Here is a 22792-nt window from a genome sequence, read left to right as displayed (position 1 = left end):
GGAGTGGAAGAGATCTTGTTGGGCTCCCCACGGCCCCGCAGCTTAGGAGTGTTAGCTTGGGCATTTTCTTTGCTTGGCCTCGTGGCAGCTCTGGTTGTTCGAAGGTTCCAACCTGTGAGGCTATTGCCTTCCCAATTCTCACTTAAGTTGCTGAGAAAACCCTCTCTGCTCTTGGCTTCCCCAGACCTTCCTAGCATGCTTCTTCCCTCCAGGACTTCAGCACAGAGCAGGGGAAGATACACAGCTTATGCTCTCACCTCTAGCCTCTTTCTCAACAAGCCCCCAAAGCCTGAAAGATGAGGGCCATTTATTCCCACTTCCTGGCGTGGGACTTCTCCTTTGTTATAGTTAATCATCCTTCTCAGTGTGTCATCTCCTTTCCTTTCATCCCTGGGTCTGTGAAACAGTGGTTGAGAGCACAACTTAAGGGAAGAGGAATAGTAAACTTAACAGTTTTTCAAATATTATCCCCTTTATGCTCACCTCTTCTCTCCAGCTGCAATATTTTTTTCTCTATACTTCAGTAATACACAGCCAAGTCAATGCTGGAACCTGGCTTTCAGGTTCCGTATAAAGTTTGGCATCATAGTAGGTGCAGTGGTTGGGATGGTGGACCGCCCCCCACCGCGCCCCCGCCACCAAAGGTATGTTCACATCCTGGAAACAGTAAATGTGACCTTACTTAGGAAAAGGACTTTTGCAGATATAATTAAATTAAAGATCTCAAGATGGGAGAGCATCCTGGATTATCCAGGTGGAGTGAGGAGAGAAGACATGGAGGAGAAGAGCAGGCCACATGAAGATGAAGGCAAAAATGGAAGAGAGTGGCCACAAGTCAAGGAATGCTAACAACCACCAGAAGCTAGAAAAGGCAGGGAACAAATTTCCTCTACAGCCTCTGGAGGGGGTGCGACATGCTCATGTCTTGATTTCCAACTCTGAATTCAAAAGTGTGAGGGAATAAATTTCCATTGTTTTAAGCCACCCATTTCTTGGTAATTTGTTACAGCAGCCCTAGGAAGACTAATACATGAGATGATATCAAACTGGTTTCCCCAGTCACAATCCTCTGATTACAAACTTCATGAGTGTTCAATAAATACTTTGGTTTCTATATGATATTTGTCAATTACCTTTCTATGCTACTTACTTTTTCTCAGAAATATTTCATTTAATTTTATAAACATTTATTGAAAACTTGCTAGATGTGCTAGGAAGCAAATATAAATAAGACAGAGTCCTTTCCCTTAAAGAAATTATGCACCCATGCCTACATAAATGTAACTTCCCTTTCTGAGGAGGGAAGAGTTGAGAGAAAGGGAAGTTCTGAGAAAGGGAAGTTCATTTATGTAAATAGATAGTGGTATGTTTTTTGGTTTACATTCGAATTGGGATTCCATATGGATCTCTTTTTGTGCCTCTTTCCTGATCCAGCAGAATAATTTCTATACAAATTTGAATCAAGAAATTTCAATGGTTTTTATGCCAGCCCAGTTTTCAATCTTTCTTCCCAAGATTGTCAAATTATTCCCTGTTTCTTGACACTGACTCCCCAGAATAACAATAATAAGGGCCAATACCTCTGGATAATAAGATAACCTGGGAATTAAAGCATGTCCTAGAACTCATTTTGTAGTGATTATGCTGTGTTGGCTGGACTAGCTCAGATAACAAGTACTAATCAATGTACACAAATGCAGATTAGAGCAATTCTGGGATTATCCATGGGAACCTTCAGAGGTCACTGAGATCATTAAGTTCAAACACAGATTTGGTTTCCTTAGCTACTTATTTAATTTATCAAGTGCACTGTGAGGGCTAGTTTTAAGTGGTAAGCTGCATCTTGTTGGATCTTCAAGATACACTTACAATCATGGGACAGGAATTATGGGTGTGGTTGTTTGGTGCTCTATATTAACAACAACAAGAGGAAAGGCAAAAAGTCAAAGATCTAGAAGTGTGCCTGTGATTCTGTATTTTTTAAATCTAGACCTGCATCTTTGATTCAGGTTGTCTACATCTGTTCTGAGGGGGGAAGTGATGCAAAGAAGAGAGGACTTTGGAACACAGCCGAGTGGGTTTTAAATCAGGGCTCTGACATTTTACTATCACACAATTGGGGTTAAGTGAGCTTCGTGCTTCATTTTTCTAACCTGACAAATTGAGACACTACTAATGACCTTTCCGGCTTAGTAAAAGTTTTGAACTAGCATTTGTAATATGCCTAGCACAGTGCCTGGCACTTAGTGGTCAGTTAGTGAATGAAAACTGTCATGATCATTTTTTTTTTCTTATTCGCATCTGTTGTTTTAACTGAAGTAGCAGGGCATGAGAGGTGTCAGAGGGACAGTTTTGCTAGCACCAGAGAGTAGGGGCCAGTGGCAGGGTAGACTCTATAAAGAAAAAGGGGCACAGGCACGGTGGCTCACGCCTGTAATCTGAACACTTTGGGAGGTTGAGTCAGGGGGATCACTTGAGGTTAGGAGTTCAAGAGCAGCCTGGCCAACAGGCTGAAACCCCGTCTCTACTAAAAAAAAAAATACAAAAATTAGCCAGCTGTGGTGGTGCATGCCTGTAATCCCAGCTACTTGGGAGGCTGAATTAGGAGAATTGCTTGAATCTGGGAGGTGGAGGCTGCAGTGAGGTGAGATTGTGCCTCTGCACTCCAGCCTGGGTGACAGAGTGAGACCCTGAAAAATACAAAAGAAAGAAAGGAAAGGAAGGAAGGAAGGAAGGAAGGAAAGAAAGAAGAAAGAAAGAAAGAAAGGAAGAAAGAAAGAAAGAAAGAAAGAAAGAAAGAAAGAAAGAAAGAAAGAAAGAAAGAAAGACAAAGAGAGAAAGAGAAAAAGGGGAAGAAAAAAGAGAGAGAAGGGCCCAGCCTCTGAGAGGTTCAGAGTACATGGACATTGGCCCAGCCTAGTTTGGCAGTCAAGAGAGCTGGGTTTTAGTCCAGATTCTGCTGCTGACCTCTGGGTGACCTAGGGAAAATTATTTGTCTCAGTTTCTCAACCAGTAAAATGTAGGAGTTGAACTAAATTTATGTTCTCAATCACCTTTCTGGGAACTAATGCTAGTCTCTGACCAAGTTTTCACTGGTGTACATCAAACTAAGTAAACTATGAACAGTATAGGCAGTTTTTTTACAACACTAAACTAATTACATTCAAAGGATAGTCTTTAATCTGAGATTATGTCCATCCTGATTTTTGGTGTTATAATGCCCTTTCTTAAAAAAAGAGATGATGGCAATAGTTGATGGCAACTGCATCTTGCCAAGATACAGAAAGCAAGCAACCTTATAATTACCCCAAAGTTGTTTGTTTTTTTAACTTACTGGACCATAAAATCCCCAGACTTGGGACTCACAGAGCTAGATGATATCAAGTGCCTCTTAGCCATAAAATCTGTGGCCCCTTGGAGATCATTGATAATATTTTTTGCTCTTAGGTTGCTTGTTGAAATGAGAACTTTATCCAAGACAACCTACAAAAGGAGTTGTAATTCAGGGAGGTGTAGTCTGAGAAAGGGAAGTTCAGGAGCTTGTGTGTCAGTAAAAGGGCACTGACCTTGATAAGCAGAGAGAGATCTGGAGATCTTGAAACAAGACCTGTCCGTCACGCTTGAACTCCCATTTGGAGGTGGAGATAGCTTCAGATCATCTAGTCCAATGGTTCTCAAGTCTGGGGATTTTTTGGTCCAATACATGAAAAATAAACAAAACAAAACAAAACAAAAAAACCTTGAGCAGTCATAGGATTCCTCACTTAAATTTTTTTTTTCTTTTGTCAAGACGCAGTTGTCCTCTACTATGGCTATGATTTCTTAAAAGAAAGGACATTATAACACCAAAAAGTGAGGAATAACATAATCTCAGAATAAAAGACAATTCTTTGAATGCACTCAGGTTAGTGATAGGAAAACCCACAGCTAATAGAAGGAACTCCATCGGGTGTAGACACAGTATGGTGTCCAGATAATAGGTGGCGGGTGACCCTGGAGGGCCCAGGCAAGCAGCCTGCATTACAGCAGTCCAGCCAGAGAGAGAAAACTCTGCTGCTGAATCAGTGGGGGTGGAGGCGAGGGGAACAGCAGGCACCCAGGGAAAGCAGCTGTGGCTAAGCCCGCAGGCAGGCCTAGGGCCTGCCAAGAAAGATTTGGCAGCTGGACATTATCTCAATAAGGACGGGGGTTCAAGAACACCCTGTTGGTCCTGGAGAGGGGGAGACTGATGGCTGGTAAGAATAATAAGAAAGGGCCCATTCCAAAAGAACTGGGAACAAAATCCTGGTTAGCAGGCTGATAAATCAGGCACAGAGGTATGAGACTAAGAAGCAGTTACTCAAACTGGGAAACAAGATGAGGTTCCAGAGCAGAACTGGAATGCAAGATCAGAGTGAAGCTGAGCTTCTGAACTCGGCCTGCTCCTGGAGATTAAAACTTTGGTCCACATATTTGAGTCATCACTGTCCATGTTCAGCCACTGGATTCTCCTATAATTGTCATGGAGTTGGTCCTAGGCTTCAGTGGTTTTTTTAAAGCTCTACCAGATCACTTTGGGAGGTGGATCACTTGAGCCCAGGAGTTCAAGACAAGCCTGGGCAACAGGTGAAACCCTGTCTCTACAAAAAATACAAAAATTAACTGCCCCTGGTGGTGTGTACCTGTAGTCCCAGCTACCCCAGAGCCTGGGGTGGGAGGCCTGCTTGAGCCTGGGAGGTAGAAGCTGCAGTGAGCCAAGATCGAGCCACTGCACTACAGCCTGGGTGACAGAGCAAGCAAGACCCTGTTTCAAAAAAAATAGAGGCTCCATCAGGTGATGCTAATGCACAGCCAGGGTTGGGAGCCCCTGGGCTACTCAAAGCCTCTGTTGGGCGTGGGGTAGGGGATAAAATCTGTAGCAGAGCCAAGGTCTGGTTGGGTCTACAGGTGAAAACCGGAAGCTCCAACTGTGGGGAAAGTAAACATGAAAGAGAAGAGAGCAGGGAGGAGGGTGCCAAGCAGATATGCAGGAGTTGCCCCGTGGCTGTCTGAACAGGAGCTCAGGGAAAAGCTAACTTGCTGAAAAATTCAGAGAGGTCTTTGCTATTCACCGGTATAAGCTAACACCCCCGTTGGGGAGCACTGGCTTAGCAAATATAGCTTTGTGTGTGTTAATTGCTTCAGTAGATGTAAGAAGCATGACAGGTATTCACTCAAGCAGAAAGAGCAGAATTTCTCAGATATCTTCCACTCATTTTATTCAAAATTGAAAGAATAGTCTGCCGTCAGCTGGGGCACTTTGCTCTGCACAGGAAACCAAAACCTTCATCACCCGCCTGATGGTCTCAAGCTGGAAACCTCAAGAAAGAAGCATGACACGGGCTGCTCTGCATATGGTCATTTCCACTATTAGAAACCCCAGTGTTAAATTTCGCTTTGAAACCATAGCAATAAAAAGGCCTGATTGACTTCTTTTTTTTTTTTTTTGCTTTGATAGTTTTCTAAGCAAAGAAAAAACACCCAAAGACCATTAGAAGAGCTTGAGACACTTTTGGTGGGAGACATATGATAGTGAATAAAAAAAAAACAACAACAGTGACTAGATTTGCCAGTGCTTACTGCCTTAGTCTGCTCAGGCTGCGATAACTAAATACCACGGACGGGGTGGCTTAAACAACAGAAACTTAGTTCTCACAATTCTGGAGATCAAAGTGCCAGCTGATTTGGTTTCTGGTGAGGGCTCTTTTCTTGGCTTATAGATGACAGCCTTCTCCCTGTGTCTTCACATGGAGAGGGAGGGAGGGAAGGAGAGAGAGAGAGACGTGTATGTGAGAGAGAGAGATGGAAGGAGGGAGAGAGAAAAAAGAGAGGGAGGGAGGTGAGGAGAGAGAGAAAAAAAATGGTCTCTTCTAAGGATACTAATCCCATGAGATCTAGGTGGCACCCTTATAACCTCACTTAACCTTTCTTATTTCCTAATAGGCCATATCTCCAAATTCAGTCAACATTGGGAGTTAGGGCATCAACATCAGAATTTTGGTGAGACATAATTCAGTCCGTAGCTCTTACTATGTGCCTGCATTGTTTTAAGAACTTTGTAGATGTTAGATAGTTTAATCCTCACAATCCTATGAGGAAGGTACTCTAATTATCCCCATTTTACAAAAGGGGAAACAGGCTTAAGAGGTTAACAACCTGCCCAATGTCACATAGCTGCAATTAATCTCTTTGAAGTATCAAACATACCAAGAAATGACCAGACTGGAAACGCTGCTGATACTTCCTCTGATCCTTACAGAATAAGTCCTCTTGGCTATGTCAAGTTACCTGAGGACTTGGAACAGCTAATAAGCTCTGACACCCATGATTAGGAGAGCTATATTAGAAATATTCAGTATTTATACCCTGTCTCTTCACAATGAACTGAAAGCTCAATTCAAATGCACAGTCTCATATTTGTTTATAATACTATATGACTACTATTAGAAAGTTGGATCCAGGAGCTTGGAAAGTGTCAGAGACTCTTAGAGAAGAGGTGGTGTTGAAATCTCGAGTCTTGAAGGATAAATGCCAGTTGACAAGAAAGCCCTGCAGGAAGGCCTTCCAGGCATGTGCAGGGAGGACATAGTGACATTAGAAGCCATCGTCCACAAGGAGTATTGCAAGGGGTTCCAAGTAGCTGGGCTAAAGGGGGCAGGTTGGGGAACCGCAGCAAGACAGAACCTAAAGTCTTATTTGGGAAAGGGGCCAAAGCCCAAGTCATGCAGAGCTTTCTTTGCCTCTCTGAGAAATGCTGCCTGCAGGACTTTAAGCTCAGGAACAACATGACAAGATTTGTGTCTCTGAAGGATAGTAGGAAGGCCAGAGATTTGAACCAGCAGGTTGAAGACTGGGGACTACTGTTGTAGATCTGAACAGAAATGCTGGGAACCTGAACTCAAGCACCAAGTACGGAGATGGGGAAGTCAGAGTGGAGTCTTGATATTTATAACCAAAATTTAAGAGGTAAATCCAGTGGTACAGTGGAAATTTGCTGTGCATTATCCGGTTATATGTAAATACAACCTCTTGAAAAACATTAAGCAGTTCTTTTCCCTACTAGCTTATGATAGATACTCTTTAGATATTTTTCATTATCAAAAATTATACAATTAGGGCCGGTCACGGTGGCTCACTCCTGTAATCCCAGCATTTTGGGAGGCCAAGGCGGGCGGATCACCTGAGGTCAGGAGTTCCAGACCAGTCTGGCAAACATGGTGAAACCCCGTCTCTACTAAAAATACAAAACATTAGCCTGGCAGAGTGGTGGGCGCCTGTAATCCCAGCTACTCTGGAGGCTGAGGCAGGAGAATCGCTTGAATCTGGAAGGTGGAGGTTGCAGTGAGCCAAGATCGTGTCATTGCACCCCTGCCTGGGCAACAGAGTGAGACTCTGTCTCAAAATAAATAAATAAATAAATGAATGAGTACAATTAGATTGTTGTTCCCATGTAGAGCTCTCCAGTTGCCAACGTGAACTGACCATAGTTACTGGATTGTTGAGTAGTTTACCTCCTATTATATTTGAGTTTCATGTATGCATTTCTTCAGACTTTTCTTAGTTCCATTGCTGTTGTAAGAAACAGGCCAGGAGAGATCAACAGTCAAAGCTGCCTCTAATTCTGTAGCAGCCTGAATCTATCTTCACCAGCTCCCCATTCCTCCCTCCTATCTTTCTCTAGCTGCTTCTTGGGACATTCTCTACTTTTCTTTTCTGGATTTGGGATTAATAGTTCTCTTACCTCCTTAGTTTGGTTGAGATGTTTGGAAAGTTTAAAAGAAACTTTACAGAGGACAGATTTCTTGTCATATATCAATGAGAAGTAGCCCCATAGATTTCCTTATGTAAGGCATAGCTTCCAGAATTTAATGTCAAAATATTTTGGCTTCCTGGAAGAATGTGCTATCACCTTTCTTAACACGTGACTGGCTACACTTTTTACTTTGGCTATCGAGAAGCTCATAGACAAATTTTGCACTCAGTGTAACAAATGTTAGAGCTTACTCTGGTTTTCTATACTCCAATTTCCCCTTTCCTTCAGTCCCTTTCTAAAAATTTGTTTTTTAAAGCTTATGATGTGTCATCTTAAATCCTTTCAGAGAAGTGGGCTATGGGTAAATTCTCCATAATAAATTCTTATCAGCTGAACTCACTGTGCACATTGACTTGCCTGCCTGGAACAAGTTATCGGGCACCATTCCTTGCCTTCCTGTCTGATTCAGTCTGTCTATGGCACATTCACTAGAAAAGTTTGAAGGTGTGTCCACTGTGGAGCAGAAACTTGGCCATAACCAGGGCATGTGGGTCCTTGGAGGTGGCAGCCTCTCCCTCTTGACCTTGCCTTAGTGCCCCTCTCAGGCAGTTGAAGGTGCCTCTGCTCCCTGCTCTAAGCCCATCTCTGGCTACATCTCCTAGTTCCCATTTTCATCCTAAAAGATCTCTCTAGTTCTTTTCTTGTCTTTTAGAACTGGGCTTCCTCTGAGCCCAGTGAATCCTCAAAACTTTCCAGACTAGGTTACTTAGATCTTGCCTTTCCTCAGTGTTACATTAAAACCAGCACATACTATGAACTTATCACATGCCTGGAATTGTGCTAAGTGCTTCTGATACATTATGTTATTTAATTCATACTGCAGGCATGGGAACTTAGAAATATTATAATTCGCATTTTCAAAGAAAAACCTGAAACTCAGAGAGGTTAAGTAGCCTATTTAAGAACACATTGCTAAGTAAGTTCGAATTCAAGCCAGAAGTTGAACTGAGGTTTAAACCAAGGCAGTCTGGTTCTTGTGTGCCTACTTCTAAGCCTCACAGCGTTCTTTACCCTCAGGTACATGCCATGACAAAGAGTGAGCATAGCGAATTCCGATCCTCACCGTTTGGTAATGTCAGTATACCATCAGCTTCCTGAAACAGTAACAGGGAAGAGATGGGTTGCTTTCTCACATGCCTATGTCTAAATTACTTTTAATTATTTTGTCATTATTGACTTGAGTACAGATGGAATATTTTTGTGATGAAATTATCTTAGGCACACTTTTTCTGATAATTTTCACACTTATCATGAAGCCCCATTTTGTGTGTTTTATATTTTCAGGTTATCCAAAATAATTCCTTACAAAAGAGAATTCATGCCTGCAAAAAGTAGTGAATGAAACTTGATTTTTGCCTGGAAGAGCTAACAGCCATTTCTCTCCATGCACTACAGACTTTCCCATTAGGAGCAACATATATAAAATGTTCAGAAATAAGGAAGAACAATATTTATTATGCAGGAAAAAATATACCTCAATGGCAATGATGATCACATTTAGAACATTTCAATTTTTGCTATTGTCTATTCTACCAGGATTGAGTCTCCATATACTCTGAAAGAAACGTTTAATGTTAATAGAAAGAACATCACACTTTGGAAGAAGGGAAGGGATTTCTAGTGCTGAATCTGTATTAAGTTATGCTGTTCTGAGTACATACTCGGTGATTTTAACCAAATGAAAATAACATGCAGCCTTACCTATCTTATATCCTATCATTCTTCTCTCTCTCTCTTTCTCTCTCTCTCTCATACACACACGCACACACACACACACACACACAGAGAAATCCTTAGCTCACAACAGACAGACATCTCTGAATGGGCTAAAAATAAACACAAGGCCTCGAAAGAAAGGCAGAAACAGTAATGACAGTTTTGAAATTTCCAGTACCTGTTGTGACAGGAATAACAAATTAATTGGGACTATAACGGATTCTTTGTAAAGGTGAAGTAAACACACTTGACTGTATATTTTTCACCATCAGTTAAGTCTCAATTGGTTCGAAAAATAAACAGAAGACATTGAACAGTTTTAATGGATTCTGACACCTAGGTATTATGCTGTCACTCCAGTATAAATGAATCATAACTTTGGACTGCACATAGGAATTACTACACATTTGGAGAAAATTTATGGTGCACCAAGCTTTGAATCATGATGTGATATCAGAACTAAAGTCAAAAGAGGAAAAAAGCTGGGCACAAATTACTATCCTCAAGCCCTTATGAATCTACCCATGCAACAGGCAAAGGTTAGAGGATTTAGAAATACTGCCAATAATTATCGTGAAGGCTGGAACAAATTTATCCTTCTGAAAGTGGTTTGTAGTAAAAAGAAAAAGAAAGAAATCCAGCAGAAGACCACTTCTGTACACATGACAGAGATGTTGAATTTCTTCCTTGTGTGCACATCCTTCTGTCCAACTAGACTGAAATCCTCCTGAGGGCATAAGCATTGCTGTGATCTGAGAGGCCATGCATTTTGATTTTCAGTAAAGGAACCAGTCATTGGTCCAGTTAACTTACTGAATTGACTATGTTAATAACCACAACCAGCCAGACTCATTGTTTCCAGTCACACGGGCAAAAATTTGAACTTTTTACTTTTTGAATGAAGGTTGACGTGGTCTAGACATTGCTTTGAAGTCTGTGACTATCAGAAGGAAGACTATGGGAGGATATGCCCTGTGAAAAAAGAAATCTGTGAATAAACAACAGTGTTTTGAGACTTTGTATGTTTCATGGGAATGTGTTAAATGTTTATGTATTTATTTGATTGAAATATCAGGTTTTAAACAGAATCATGCCTAAAGAGATTAGATGCAGACATCAGGATAACACTTTTTTAAAGTGCTTCTATTGTAAAATAGAAATAATAATACTGCATGTTTATACAACTTTGACATTTTTCAAAGCATTTTCATAAATAGTACGTTATGCTATCTTCTGTAAAGTAAAAAGCCTGGCTTATTACTCCATTTTACAGATGAAGAAATGGAGACAGATGAACTCAATCAGTGAAGAAGCAGATATTAGAGTGATGGTCTTTTGCTTGTTTGACCAGTCTTCTTTCCAGATGTTTGCTTATTTTTCTGTTGGCTAAATAGGCAAAATCTAACATTTGTGTAGTGCTGCCTATTACAGTTGGACAGCAGGGCGGGTAGGCTTATGCTCATTTTATAGAGGAGAAGACTAATGACCTGAGAGGTAAAGTGAATTGTCTGTGGTTGCACGGCTAGTAAATGGTGGGATTCAAGGACAGAACCTCTTGCTCTTCCCAAGAGCCTTGGCCACGAAAACCTGGCATATTAAACAATCCTGCTCCCCTTCCTCCTATTCAGCTCCCTGCATTATCATGGCTCCAAACAACCCTGTCAGTTAACTCATTGGGTTTGTTGATTTTCTCTGAAAGACTTAACTTGCAACAACTGAGGCCCTACAACCTGTGAAATAGGGTTGAAGGCTAATCAGAGATAACCGTGTGCAGCTGGTTTATAAGCCGATTCTTTCCCATGTTTGAAGAAAAAAAATGCAATGGTGTTCTCATCTTTTCACGAGAAATCCATTAATTATCAAACACATACCAGACGATGGAAGACTCAGAGTAGCTGTCTTTAAGTAAAAACCCAGGCATCTTTAAGGCAAGTGGCCAGTTTGGGTCCTAGGTAGGAGTCCGGGGACAAGGCAAACACCATATAGGGAGGTAGGGGGTACCCATAGGGTAGCCTGTGAAGAAATGGGGGTGGGATAGAGAAACTGAGGGTAGAACAGGCTAGAAAGAGGCAGAATGGAGGCCCTCACAGGTCACCAGGCCAGGCCCTAAGAACTTCTCCTCATCACCTTGGCCATGGACACAGGTTGATCCTATGACAGTCTTGATGGTCGTTGGCTTGTCTATTCCAGCCTGCCATTTTGATACAAGCATCCTAAAATGGCCATTACACATTTTCAATGTTCACTTTAGCTTCTTCTAGGTTTAATCCATCCCTTGTGGCTACTTGCACAGCTTCAGTTTCTATGCAAGGCTTTCTACATTGACCTTGCACAGTTATCAATGTTTTAACATCCATAAAAAAATAAAAATGTGCGCTCCCATAAAGAGCAGCAAACAGAAAAACAGTAAGTAGTAGGAAGATGTGAGGCCGTGCACCACTAGTCTCCATAAGGCCAGCATTACTGCGAGCTTCCATTGCATCCCTGAATTTAATGGCTGTGAATACGGTTATCGCAGGCTTTTTAGAGGGCATTATATTAGTGTGACCGTCGGTAAGTACCAACTTCACGTTTTTATTTCCACTGCAAAGGAGATCGTTTCCTATGTTCCTTTGGAAAGGGAAACAGGGCTTTGCAGCTTTTTTAACCTCCTGGAAAATAAACTGCAGCTGCCAGTATTCACATTCACCCGCTTCCTAGGCTTTTGAAGCTTTACTCCTGTTAGGAAAATGGGCTGTTTATGCTGAAACTGAAGTTTCCTGGTGTTTTGTTTTTAAGATTAAAAAACACTGGAGAGTGAAAACAAAGCTTTTAAAGCTTCATCAAAGGTGGGGAGGTCACTCCTTTCTGTTTCTCAGGTTTACAAACAGGGGTCCAGAAAAAGCTCCATCTCAGCGCTGGGAGACCAACCAGACATTTAAAGGGGTAGCACCTTAACTTGTCAATTTTGAGAATACCAAACGATCCTGGAGGTTTTTTTACTCCTTTAATCAGCTGTAATTTTCAGCTCTGATGCTGTCTGACAGGCTTCATCTCAACCCCCGTGCTACACTGCTCCTCTGGCTTCATCACTGCGAGATAGAAATAAGGGGGAGGGGATCTGGAACATGAACTGACAGCATAAATTGGATGGGATCTCACCTACCTATTGGGATTGGTGCCCCAGTTTGGAGGGTCTGAAGGGGAAGAGTTGAAAGAATGCCCACGTCGTGGAGGAGGGTCAGGTGCTAAGACTTTTTATAATTTTTTCTTTTTCTTTCTTATACCTTTTTTCCTTCCCTTCTTCTTCCATTCTCTTTCCCTCTCTCTTTTCTCTCTGTCTCTTCCTCCTCCTCCTCCTCTCTCTCTTCCCACTCTCCGGTTTTAAACCCAGTTATCTCCTTCTTATCCTCCTTTGGATAATAGGCATGCACACTTTGGATCCAGGAGAAAATAGGTGCACACGCACACACACACGCATGCATATGTACACACACAGAGATGCACACACATACACTCACAGAGGCATTTATATCTCGTGCATTGAACAACAATAATATAGTAGTAGCTGTTACTTCTTGAGGGCTATGTGCCAGCCACTATGGTCTGTGCCTTATCTCAATTAATCCTCAAATCATCTCTGTGAGGCTCATTGTAGAGATCAGGAAGCTGATCTAAGTCACAGCTAGGAATAAAAAAGAGCACAACCTCAGAGGCCCATGGCCTCCAGGCCAAAATGTCCCTACTTTCAGTTTCTCTTTATATCAGTCTTATCTACAATCCGTAATCCTCTCTCAACGCTGACTGTCAGCAGTGGAAGTTTAGGAGGAGTCACATAGGGACCGGTAGCCCCTGCTGGGGTTGTGTTTCAGGTGTGAGGACCAGCATTGCTCACACTCAGGTCCAAAATGCTCTTCTTCATTCCTGCATCTTCTTCCAGGTGGGTGTTGGTGAAGGGGATAAAAACTGTGGCCTTGGGCTAAGAGCGTGGGAACAGAAGGACTGCCTTTCTATCAGGGATGCCAATGCATGGGAGGAGGGGTGGTTCTGGGCATTTTTTCCTGATCTTGCAGCCTGGGAGGCATCACCCCATGTTTTCTGGGCTGCCTGTCAAATAACAGAAAGAGCTGCTTACATCAGTTTGAGACCCTGGTGCCATTGTGCCCCCATTTTCCATACACACAATGCAAGACAACCTTTTCCCCAGCTTCTTCCCCTGAATAAGGATTGAGGCCTTTTCTGGGGAATATATACTAGCCTTAAACATATAATACATGCCCTTAATTGCTTCAAGGTCATTTTCAGGAATTCTGATATGTTTGAATAATTAGCCTTAGAAGTGTATATTGCATTTCTAACTTAGTGGGTAGAATAGAAAAATAAATTGCTTCCTGTTTTCCTGTTTGGAAAGATGATGGAAGATACTAAGATAAAATTAATTTTAATAATGAAATTATTTTATGTACATATGGACAGCATATTCCTATTTGATGTAATTTTGTTATTCTATAGTTATAAGCCACATTCTATTTCATAGGTAGGTGCATAAGTACGCTAGGCAGAATGAAATGATGATGTGAAAATCATACTTTTTTTAATCATATATGTCTAAACATGGGATATGTCCAGTGATCTTTCTCCCCAGTCTTCTTTCCCATTCTCCTCCACCTCAACACCACAAAATGAACAAAACCAGGCAATTGATTAGCATTTCTGTAAGATGTTTTCTTGGTTAAGTTTGAACTTGAACAACTTGAGCATAAAGGTCACTTGATTCCAAAATGCATGTATTCACACATGTCACATATTGTGTTTTTTCTACTTTTTAAAAATATATGTATACATTCAAAAAAATCTCACAGTGTGGCACAATTTGCTACTCTTCATTCAGGGGTAATTTCTTACTGGGGAGATCTCCCCCCTCAAAATTACAGTTCATGGTCATTACTGACTTGTTCAATCAAATCTAATATAATAGTATGGAAGACTCAATCCTTTTGCTCTTTGCTTAAAGTTTTTAGTTTTAAATAATGCTTTCTCTTTTAGCTACCAAGCAGTGTCACAGATGAAAAATATTACCTTGAAGAAGTAAAATACTTAAGTGGATTTTTAGGGTCTTAAACTCATAAAACCCCTGTGAAATCATGTGTAGGTGAAACCATCACACACGATGAAGAGAATTATGCTCTGGCATGATGGTAATTAACCACCACCCTAAATAGCTGGTTGTACTTGTAACCCTCATGTCAGGATTAGAATCCTTAAATAATGGCCGTGTTTATGGTTCTAATTTGGTTTGCAATTGATTCTCCTAAAAACCGTAAGCCAGGAAAGTGCTTATTGTACGGACCACAATATAGCCTTCGTGAAGACTATTTTAAAATTACTCTGGTGTCCTACAAACTTCAAGATCTTTTGTTTTCATAAATTATGAAAGGGAAATGTCACAAGCACTCATCGCTGTGGTGCCCTGGCTCTGCTGACAGCTGTATGATGCACACTCAGTGCGGCAGGTTGGGAGCTGAGGGTTTCATCAATAAATATGACTCTGATCGCTTCATGTCGACGGTCAAGGTAATGGCGTTTTAGTATCTTGGAAACATGCACCACTCCCAGTCACATGCAGACTGGAGAGTTGAAATCCATAGTGCGGAGCTCATCTCATTCTTTCTTCTTGACAGAAATTCCACTTTTTATCTTTCTCACAATTCCTGACGATAATCTGTTTTTGATACAGTCATATTTCTTACTTGTATTTTACCACCACATAAGGCTGCATGTATACTGTACATAGCATGTGGAAATCAAGGTTGAAACTAATAGTGTATGTTACATTAGAAGGAATATCACCTCTCGACCTGTTCCAGCGTGGACATGACCACTGCTTCTCTGGATCCCTAAAGATGATTAGACCAATGTTTTAAAATATAAGAAAAGCAAACAACAGAAGGCCAGGGACACTAATCCTCCATATAGGAAGAATCATGTAGAATAAATCCAAGGGCATTTTTAAAAAGAAATCAATACTAAAACATTATGTGTGTGAATTAATTTAAAAATAAACTGTAGCTTTCCTTAGTATCCAAGCTGCCCTACTTTACCCATTTTTCATTTGCCTTTACCCTCCATCTGCAGATCTCACCTCTACCATGAAAGATATTTTCCATAGATGTTAGATGCAAATATTATACATAACTGGCCTTTAAATTCATAGTTTTATTTATTTTAAAAATATACTTGTTTATGTTTGCTTCTTTTACAATTTGGTACGATAGCACAGTATATAAAATTGATACTTAAAAAAGGAATGTTTGCAACATTTATGAAAACAGATTAAACATACTGTAATTATTATTGAGATCTACATATCCATGGTAACTTTGGATGTTTTTATTTTTAGCCTGTTCTTCTTGGTATGAAGCAGTTCTTTATAGTCACTTGTTTTTCCATAAATCCTCTGCTTGGAAAAATTTTAAAGTTAACATGAAATACCTAGGTTTAAAATGTCACCCAAAAAATTAAGTTTATATCTCTACACCACTAAATTTTTGCCATTTTCCAATGTTGACTTATTTAAAAAAATATCCACAGTCACCTTGACAGAATTTTCAAACTTTGGAATATAATTTGACTGTGAATGTTTCCTCAAACCACAAAACACAGAAAGGCAAGAAATCTAAAAAATCCTTGCGTCTGGGAAAACTCAGGGTGGTAAGTAGGTTAACGTGTTACTCAAACTATAGGGAGATACAGTTTTTGACATATGAATGTTATGAACAAGGTCTTGCAGACATTTAAGCTGTATTTTTTACCCTTTTGAATCTACTTTTACACTGACCATAATTGAAATAATGTTAAAGTGTAACCAAAAGAATTTTCAGCAAAAATGCTGAAAGGAACCAATTTATGTGTAAAAAGATCAAGAAAGACAGGCTAATTTTTAAAAAGCCCTATGCTCCCGGCATTAATATCTGATCTCTGCAAAATTCATTTTATACTTATAATGACTTTCTCTTTTCATAAAGAAAATACTTTTTCCCCCTCGTTTATTGACCAAACTGTGATGAGAAAATAAGAAATTTAATGCCAGTGGATTATTCTTACGTTTTTTTTTTTTCTGAAAACGTGGGAAAGAATTGGCTCCAATTAATGCCGAGAACACTTTATTTGTGTAAAAATATAACATGGTTAATAAAATGTTAGCTATGAATAAAAATGTAAGTACAGTGAAATGCAAATGTAGGCATGGCTAATGTGCAATACTGTATACCCATGTTGATTTCTTTAGTGGAGAAAAATATCTATGATGCAGTCAGTAAGTTAAATTATATCAGAATGTGTTCTTTAGGAGGTTTCAGAAGCTCGAGATTTCATACTTTAACGCCTGCACACAAACTGACTTTAAAAAGCAAAGATTTGAAACAGATAAAGCAACATTTTGCCTAAAGTTCATTCATCAAAGGGCTGCATATTTTGAAAAGGGTAAAAGTACTACTAAACCCATCAGGGATAAGTAAAGGCTATATACTATAGATTATTTTAATCCCCCAGCTAGATATAAAAGGGATAATTACATATTTGTGGTTGAAGCCATGTGGTGGAAAAATCAATACAACTTTTTTGTATGACACTTCATTAGTGTGAAAAATTTTAAAAGCTGAGAAGAACTGCCTAGCAATTAAATGCCTCTGCTACTTCAGCTCCAGTAATGGGTTTGTATTATTATCTAGTTTATTTGAAATAGTGGTTGCACTATAGAAGTAATTGGAAAACATTGATTATGCACTTGTATCTGGAAAGCCTGGCAAATCATTACAGGGCCCGGCAACAGTTAGTTAGCCTTACTAATGAAGCACTAATTGCTCTAAGTAGGTTAACATGTTAGTGAAACTATAGGGAGATAATAGTTTAGAAAATCCTGAGGTATTTTGCCAAACATGCATTTTCATTTAATATTCTGGAGATTGACACCATATGAGTATTTTTTTCCTTTTGTTTTGTTTTGTTTATGATGCTCTTTTGGAAAACAAAAAGAGTAGCTTAAATGAAGTTCCCACAATCATGTGGCATAAAATGACTCTGTTTCCTTTTATGCCCCCTTCTTATTAATGCAACCTCTTTTAGCAAATGGAACTAAGCCACTTTCAGCATGGTTTCCTTGAGCAGTTTTTTGGGTCCTTCAGTTCAGAAACTTCTGACATTTTTATCTTGGTTCACTCTCCCAGTTCAAGGGCTTCATGAGCCAATCCATGCTATATCTTCCAGCTGTTGAGTCATGATACCATTGTCCTATGTACATCAGAGCTATGCTTTCAAAACTATCATTTTCACTTTAAATTAAAATAATTTGTGGAACTTAATAGGGCTTTATTAATAGAAAAAGGGTACCAGTATATCCCCCACTGCCATTAGTGAAATTTTTAGGAGGAAAAAAATGAGTATTAGAGAAATTCTTGCTTATACACACCAGGAGACAAAATTAAGAATGTTCACAGCACTGTTGTGTGTAATAATAGCAAATGAACAAGCCAACACACCAGAACCCACTCAATGCCCATTGACAAAGTAATGGACAAATAATTATCTTCTATTCACAAAATGGAGTATTATACAATAGAGAAAATGAATGACACATAAAAACATAGGCACATATGTTCGGAATGAATCTCAGAGAAATAATATGAAATGAGAAAAGCAAGTTTTAAAAGACCACATAGGATATGGTACTACTTTATAAAGTCTCAAAACAAACAAAACTGAACAATCATAGTAATATACACATATATAGCAAATTTATTTTTTAAAGTCTATAAAATAGTATACATAGAAAATTCAGGATAAAATTACCTCAAGAGCTGGAAATGGGGGCAGAGTGGAGGTGTCAAAGGCTTTGGTGGTGTCATAGTTTTGAATTGGGTGGAAGGTCACACTGTTCATTTTAATATTATGCTTTGTAATTCAAATTTATGTTGCAAATAGTCTTTTGTACATAACAATAAAAAAAGTTTTAAAGAATCAGTATCTTCCATTCCTTAAAGAAAAGTACATCATCTTGTCCAGTCAAATGATCAAGTCTTACCCCTTTGATGTTCTAAGGAAATCAGAGAAAAAATATTGCCATTTTAAAATTGCTATATATTTTTTGCCAATTATTGAAAATATCAAGGTAAGAAAATAGGAAAAAATGCTTTATTTAATTAAAAAAGAAATCTATTTAGATTTTAAAAAATATAATAATTCACTCTTGTATATTTACAATGTATTCATAAGGATAGGGATATTTTTCTTTGTAAGACTTAGGTAAACCTTATACCAATGACTGAGGCGTTCACATGGTTTACATCTGAGTAAAATATTTATCTTTTGGGGCCATTAAGGAAACAACAGTAGTATTAGGATGGGAAAGGACAAATTTCCTATTCCTTTTTCAAAAAACATATTTATTTTTTATCTAGCAACATCTACCAATATAGAAGGCAATCAAATGCCACAACCCCTGTAAGATGTCCAGCAAAGTTTGGGGATCAGTGAGAGGGGAGATTAATTTTCTGTGTCTTGCTTCCCTTGCCTGGCTGCTTGGCTTCCTGTACCTAATGCAGAACTTGGCACACAGTAAGTGCCCAATATATACTTTTGAGTCAAGATTTTTGTGAAAACAATTTCTAAGAAGATAGATATATTAAAATGTTATTGATTTGAATGCCAAAAGTGAAAATTTACAAGTAATATGACAATGGCTAACAGAAGAAAAATTCAGTTACCCAAATCTCCGAAATAAGTGAGAAAACGCGCCTCCAAAGCAAACCGGAGACCAGTGATGCTCTTGAGATTTTCTTTATATTTCTAATATATGATACGATTATATTATTTTGAGAAATGCAGCTCATGGAAAAAAAAAGTCCACAAAACTCTCAAAGGGTTGGAGGTTCAAAATATTTCCTTGATCTGTTAAAACAAAAAGCAAAGGAATTCTTTTCTTTTAGACATAGGCCCTGAAATGTTTATAGATGTGATAAATTAAATGATGCCTAGGGTTTGCTTCAAAACTAAACAAGTCGGGGAGTGGACGGGGCATTAGTGAAACCAGAATGACCATGAGCATGAGATGATATTCATTAAAGCTGAATGATGAGTATACACGGAGTTATTAGGTTATTCTGTCTCTTTTCTATATGTATTTTTTTCCATAATAAAAAGATTAAAATGTATGGGGCCAGATTTATTGAAATCCCATATGAAACTATTTTGTAAATGGTTAATGCCTAGCCAACTACTCATACTTTCTCTTCGGGTTGGAAAAAATGTAAGATTCTCATTCTTGACACTAATTCTTCTGAAAAGATCCATTTGTTTATTTTCAAGTGGCATTGGTTGGTAGCAAACAGTTGCCCTTAGGTGATACCAATTGAAACGGAACTCTTAGCCTTCAATGGGAGTTTGTATTTCCCTCAACGTTGATTTTACTTTTTTCTCTTGGAGTTATTGGAAGGATCTGGCTGGGGTGGGTGGTTGCAAAGAGAGGGGATTATTGTTTAAATGAGACCCTGTTTCTAGCCTTAAGTCAGACAAGAGCCATTCTGGTTGCATTCAACATTTCAAAGAAAAGTAACAATGCTCTCAGAGAGCCGCTCTCTACAAAGCAGCTCATTATTGTAAATGTGGGGCATGTTTAGACTGCTAAGGAGAATCATAAAAGTACGGCCTCTACTGCAAGCTCCTTTTGCAGTAAACATTGTCCTCAGGCCAGACAGGCTTCTGGGCAGCCCCAGCACCAACAGCCTGCGTGGAAAGCTCACCTGACGATACCAAAACGAGGGAAGTGGAGTTATGGAAGTATAAATGTGCATGGTGAACATTATCTGCAAGGTCTTTTATGTTAAGGAAATCATGACACCTGCCAATCTTTCAAATTCCAAAGGGTAAAGCATGAGGCCTAGTAGGCTGTCATTGAACATGACAAGCTTAATGCCAAGTTTATAACAGAAAAAGGGCAATCTTATTGTGGTTTATTCAGTTTTATGTTGCTGGTTCAATAGGAAGGCATACTCTCTCTCTGTCTCTCTGTCTCTTTATAAATCTAATTTATAACATTTGAAATACCAAACAGATTCTTTACATATCTCCTGAGCCCCTGCTCCCCTTCACTACCCGCAGTCTCTCCTTTAGGGAACAACCCCTAAATCCTTCCAATTTAGCATGTTCGTGAGGCTAGACAATTGTTTTAGTTGAGCATTTCTTCCTGTTGTTATAGAGCTGTTTCTAACTCCAAACATTTCCGTTTAATTACTGCTCAGACTGTTGCTCTATTTTCATTTAACCTGCCCCTCGCTTGAGCCCATTGGGCTGAAGAAAGAATTACTCCCCACGCTGTTCCTTAGCCCTTCTTGTTCAGATCTGTAATTGGCCCTGTGTTTTTGACTTTTTGCTAATAAGCAGCTTACTTTCTCTCCCCCTAGACTCAACCCACCACTTTTGTTTCATGAATTTTACAAAGGATTTTAATAGATGCTTTAGGCTATGCAAAATGTTATATGAAGGGAAGCATTAATGCAACAGCCTTGACACAAAGGACGTGTGAATGGCTGCTTATCATTACAGTCAGGTCTCAAAATTTTCATTAGGAGTTCTGGAGGACAAAAGAAGAAAAAATGCAGCTATATGAAGGAATATTAACCTATACTGTGTAACCAACTATAATTGCTTAGCATTTTACATTAACTCTCTTCAGACACGGCCTCTCATTATTTTTACACATACATAATAACTGCTTATTACAGCGGTATAGTTCATGCTGATCCACGGTGGATAAGGCTGTGTCAGCACTTCCAATATAAGACCCACTTTCATGGGTTTAAAACAGCTGTAAAATTTACCTCCAGACCAAAGATTGGTAATCAACTTTCCACCTGGAGAGAGAATTTTGTTTAAAGTTAAAGAAATTAAAAAAAAAAAACACTTTTATTAAGAAAAAAAGTTTGCTTGTTTTAAATTACCAACAAGAAATGAATGAACATGTTTAATACATTTTTGAATTTCTAAATATGGATGTTTATTGAAATCCACTCTGAAGTGTGCTTTTGATGATAAATATAAATAAATGAATTTTAAACAGCGCCAAAATTAAATACTACATTCATAACAGACTTTACTGAAAATATTTATACTCCTAATAGATTTCATTTCACCCAATGGTGCTAGGAGCACTGCACATATTTTCAAGATGTATAATCCATAGTTTTCACTGGAAAATGAATAAAAATATTTATCAATTCCGAGTGTAAGAGCCCATGAAAAGTCATCCACTTATATAACAATATACCGGCTTTTAGAATTATTTTGAAATCCTGTTTCCTGAAAGTCTCTAAGCAAACTGATTTTGACTAAGAAAGAGAGTAGGAACTCAGCAAAATACTGGTCTATGACCAAAAAATTGGGGACTGTGTAAGAGTAGACGGTAGATTTGCTACATGAAAAAATGGGTCCATTTGTGAAAATTTGGGCTTCTGGCAGAAGTAATTCAGAGGATGATACTGCTAATTTTCATTAACTTTGCAAAGTACTCCGAAGTTTCTCAATTCCCAAGGTGTAAAAGTATTTGAGATCATGCTCCCATAATAATAAGAGACATATCAGCATTAACTGCTCCCCTAAATGTGCCGAATTCATTTGTCATGAAATGTCTGCATTTGTTTCTAAAGGAAATGAAAGCTACAAAATGGCCTATCACTTCTTGAAGGTATCAGAGAAGCTCTTCTAACAGGTGAATAAAAATTTACATGGAAATTTTCCCTTACATTGAAAAAAACTTAGAATACCTTTAAAATTATTTCAACCATGCTGGTTCTATAGCAAAAGTTGAAAATATATCCTTCAACACATTATGTTTGTGAACAACAAATCTATCAAATATCAATGGAATAAGACAGAGCTTGTCTCTTTAATTCCCACTAAACTTCTAGTCTTTTCCTCTGCTTCTGTCACCCTTTTAACTCAAATGAGAAGGCCCATCTTAGCTATGTTTCTCAGACTTAGCTGATTCCCTGATACAACCCAAGGACTGCTAACAAAGAAAAAAGAAATACTCATTTAAAAGTGTAAATCCTCTTAGAGTAATATCAGATTCTATAAAGCAACTTATTTTACTATCTCTTTAAGTGACAGCTTATGAAAGGTGGAAACATAGATTAAAAGTGGCTCTCAGCACAAAGATATTCATGTTTCATGGTTTTTGTGTAGTAAGGAAGTAGCACCTCTGTCCCTAAACTG

At 39.0% G+C, this 22792-nt stretch overlaps 1 annotated feature.

Annotated features, from left to right (window-relative positions):
- Positions 13165 to 13365: a silencer, noted in NCBI's record as "peak3942 fragment used in MPRA reporter construct". NCBI's record gives its function as "represses an SCP1 promoter by STARR-seq MPRAs in K562 erythroleukemia cells {active_cell/tissue: K562}" and the evidence as "EXISTENCE:reporter gene assay evidence [ECO:0000049][PMID:32103011]".

The sequence above is a fragment of the Homo sapiens genome, chromosome 2 (genome assembly GCF_000001405.40).
Source record: "Homo sapiens chromosome 2, GRCh38.p14 Primary Assembly".
Taxonomy (NCBI): domain Eukaryota; kingdom Metazoa; phylum Chordata; class Mammalia; order Primates; family Hominidae; genus Homo; species Homo sapiens.
The sequence above is the reverse complement of the archived record's forward strand: the minus strand, read 5'-3'. Positions and strand labels throughout refer to the sequence as shown.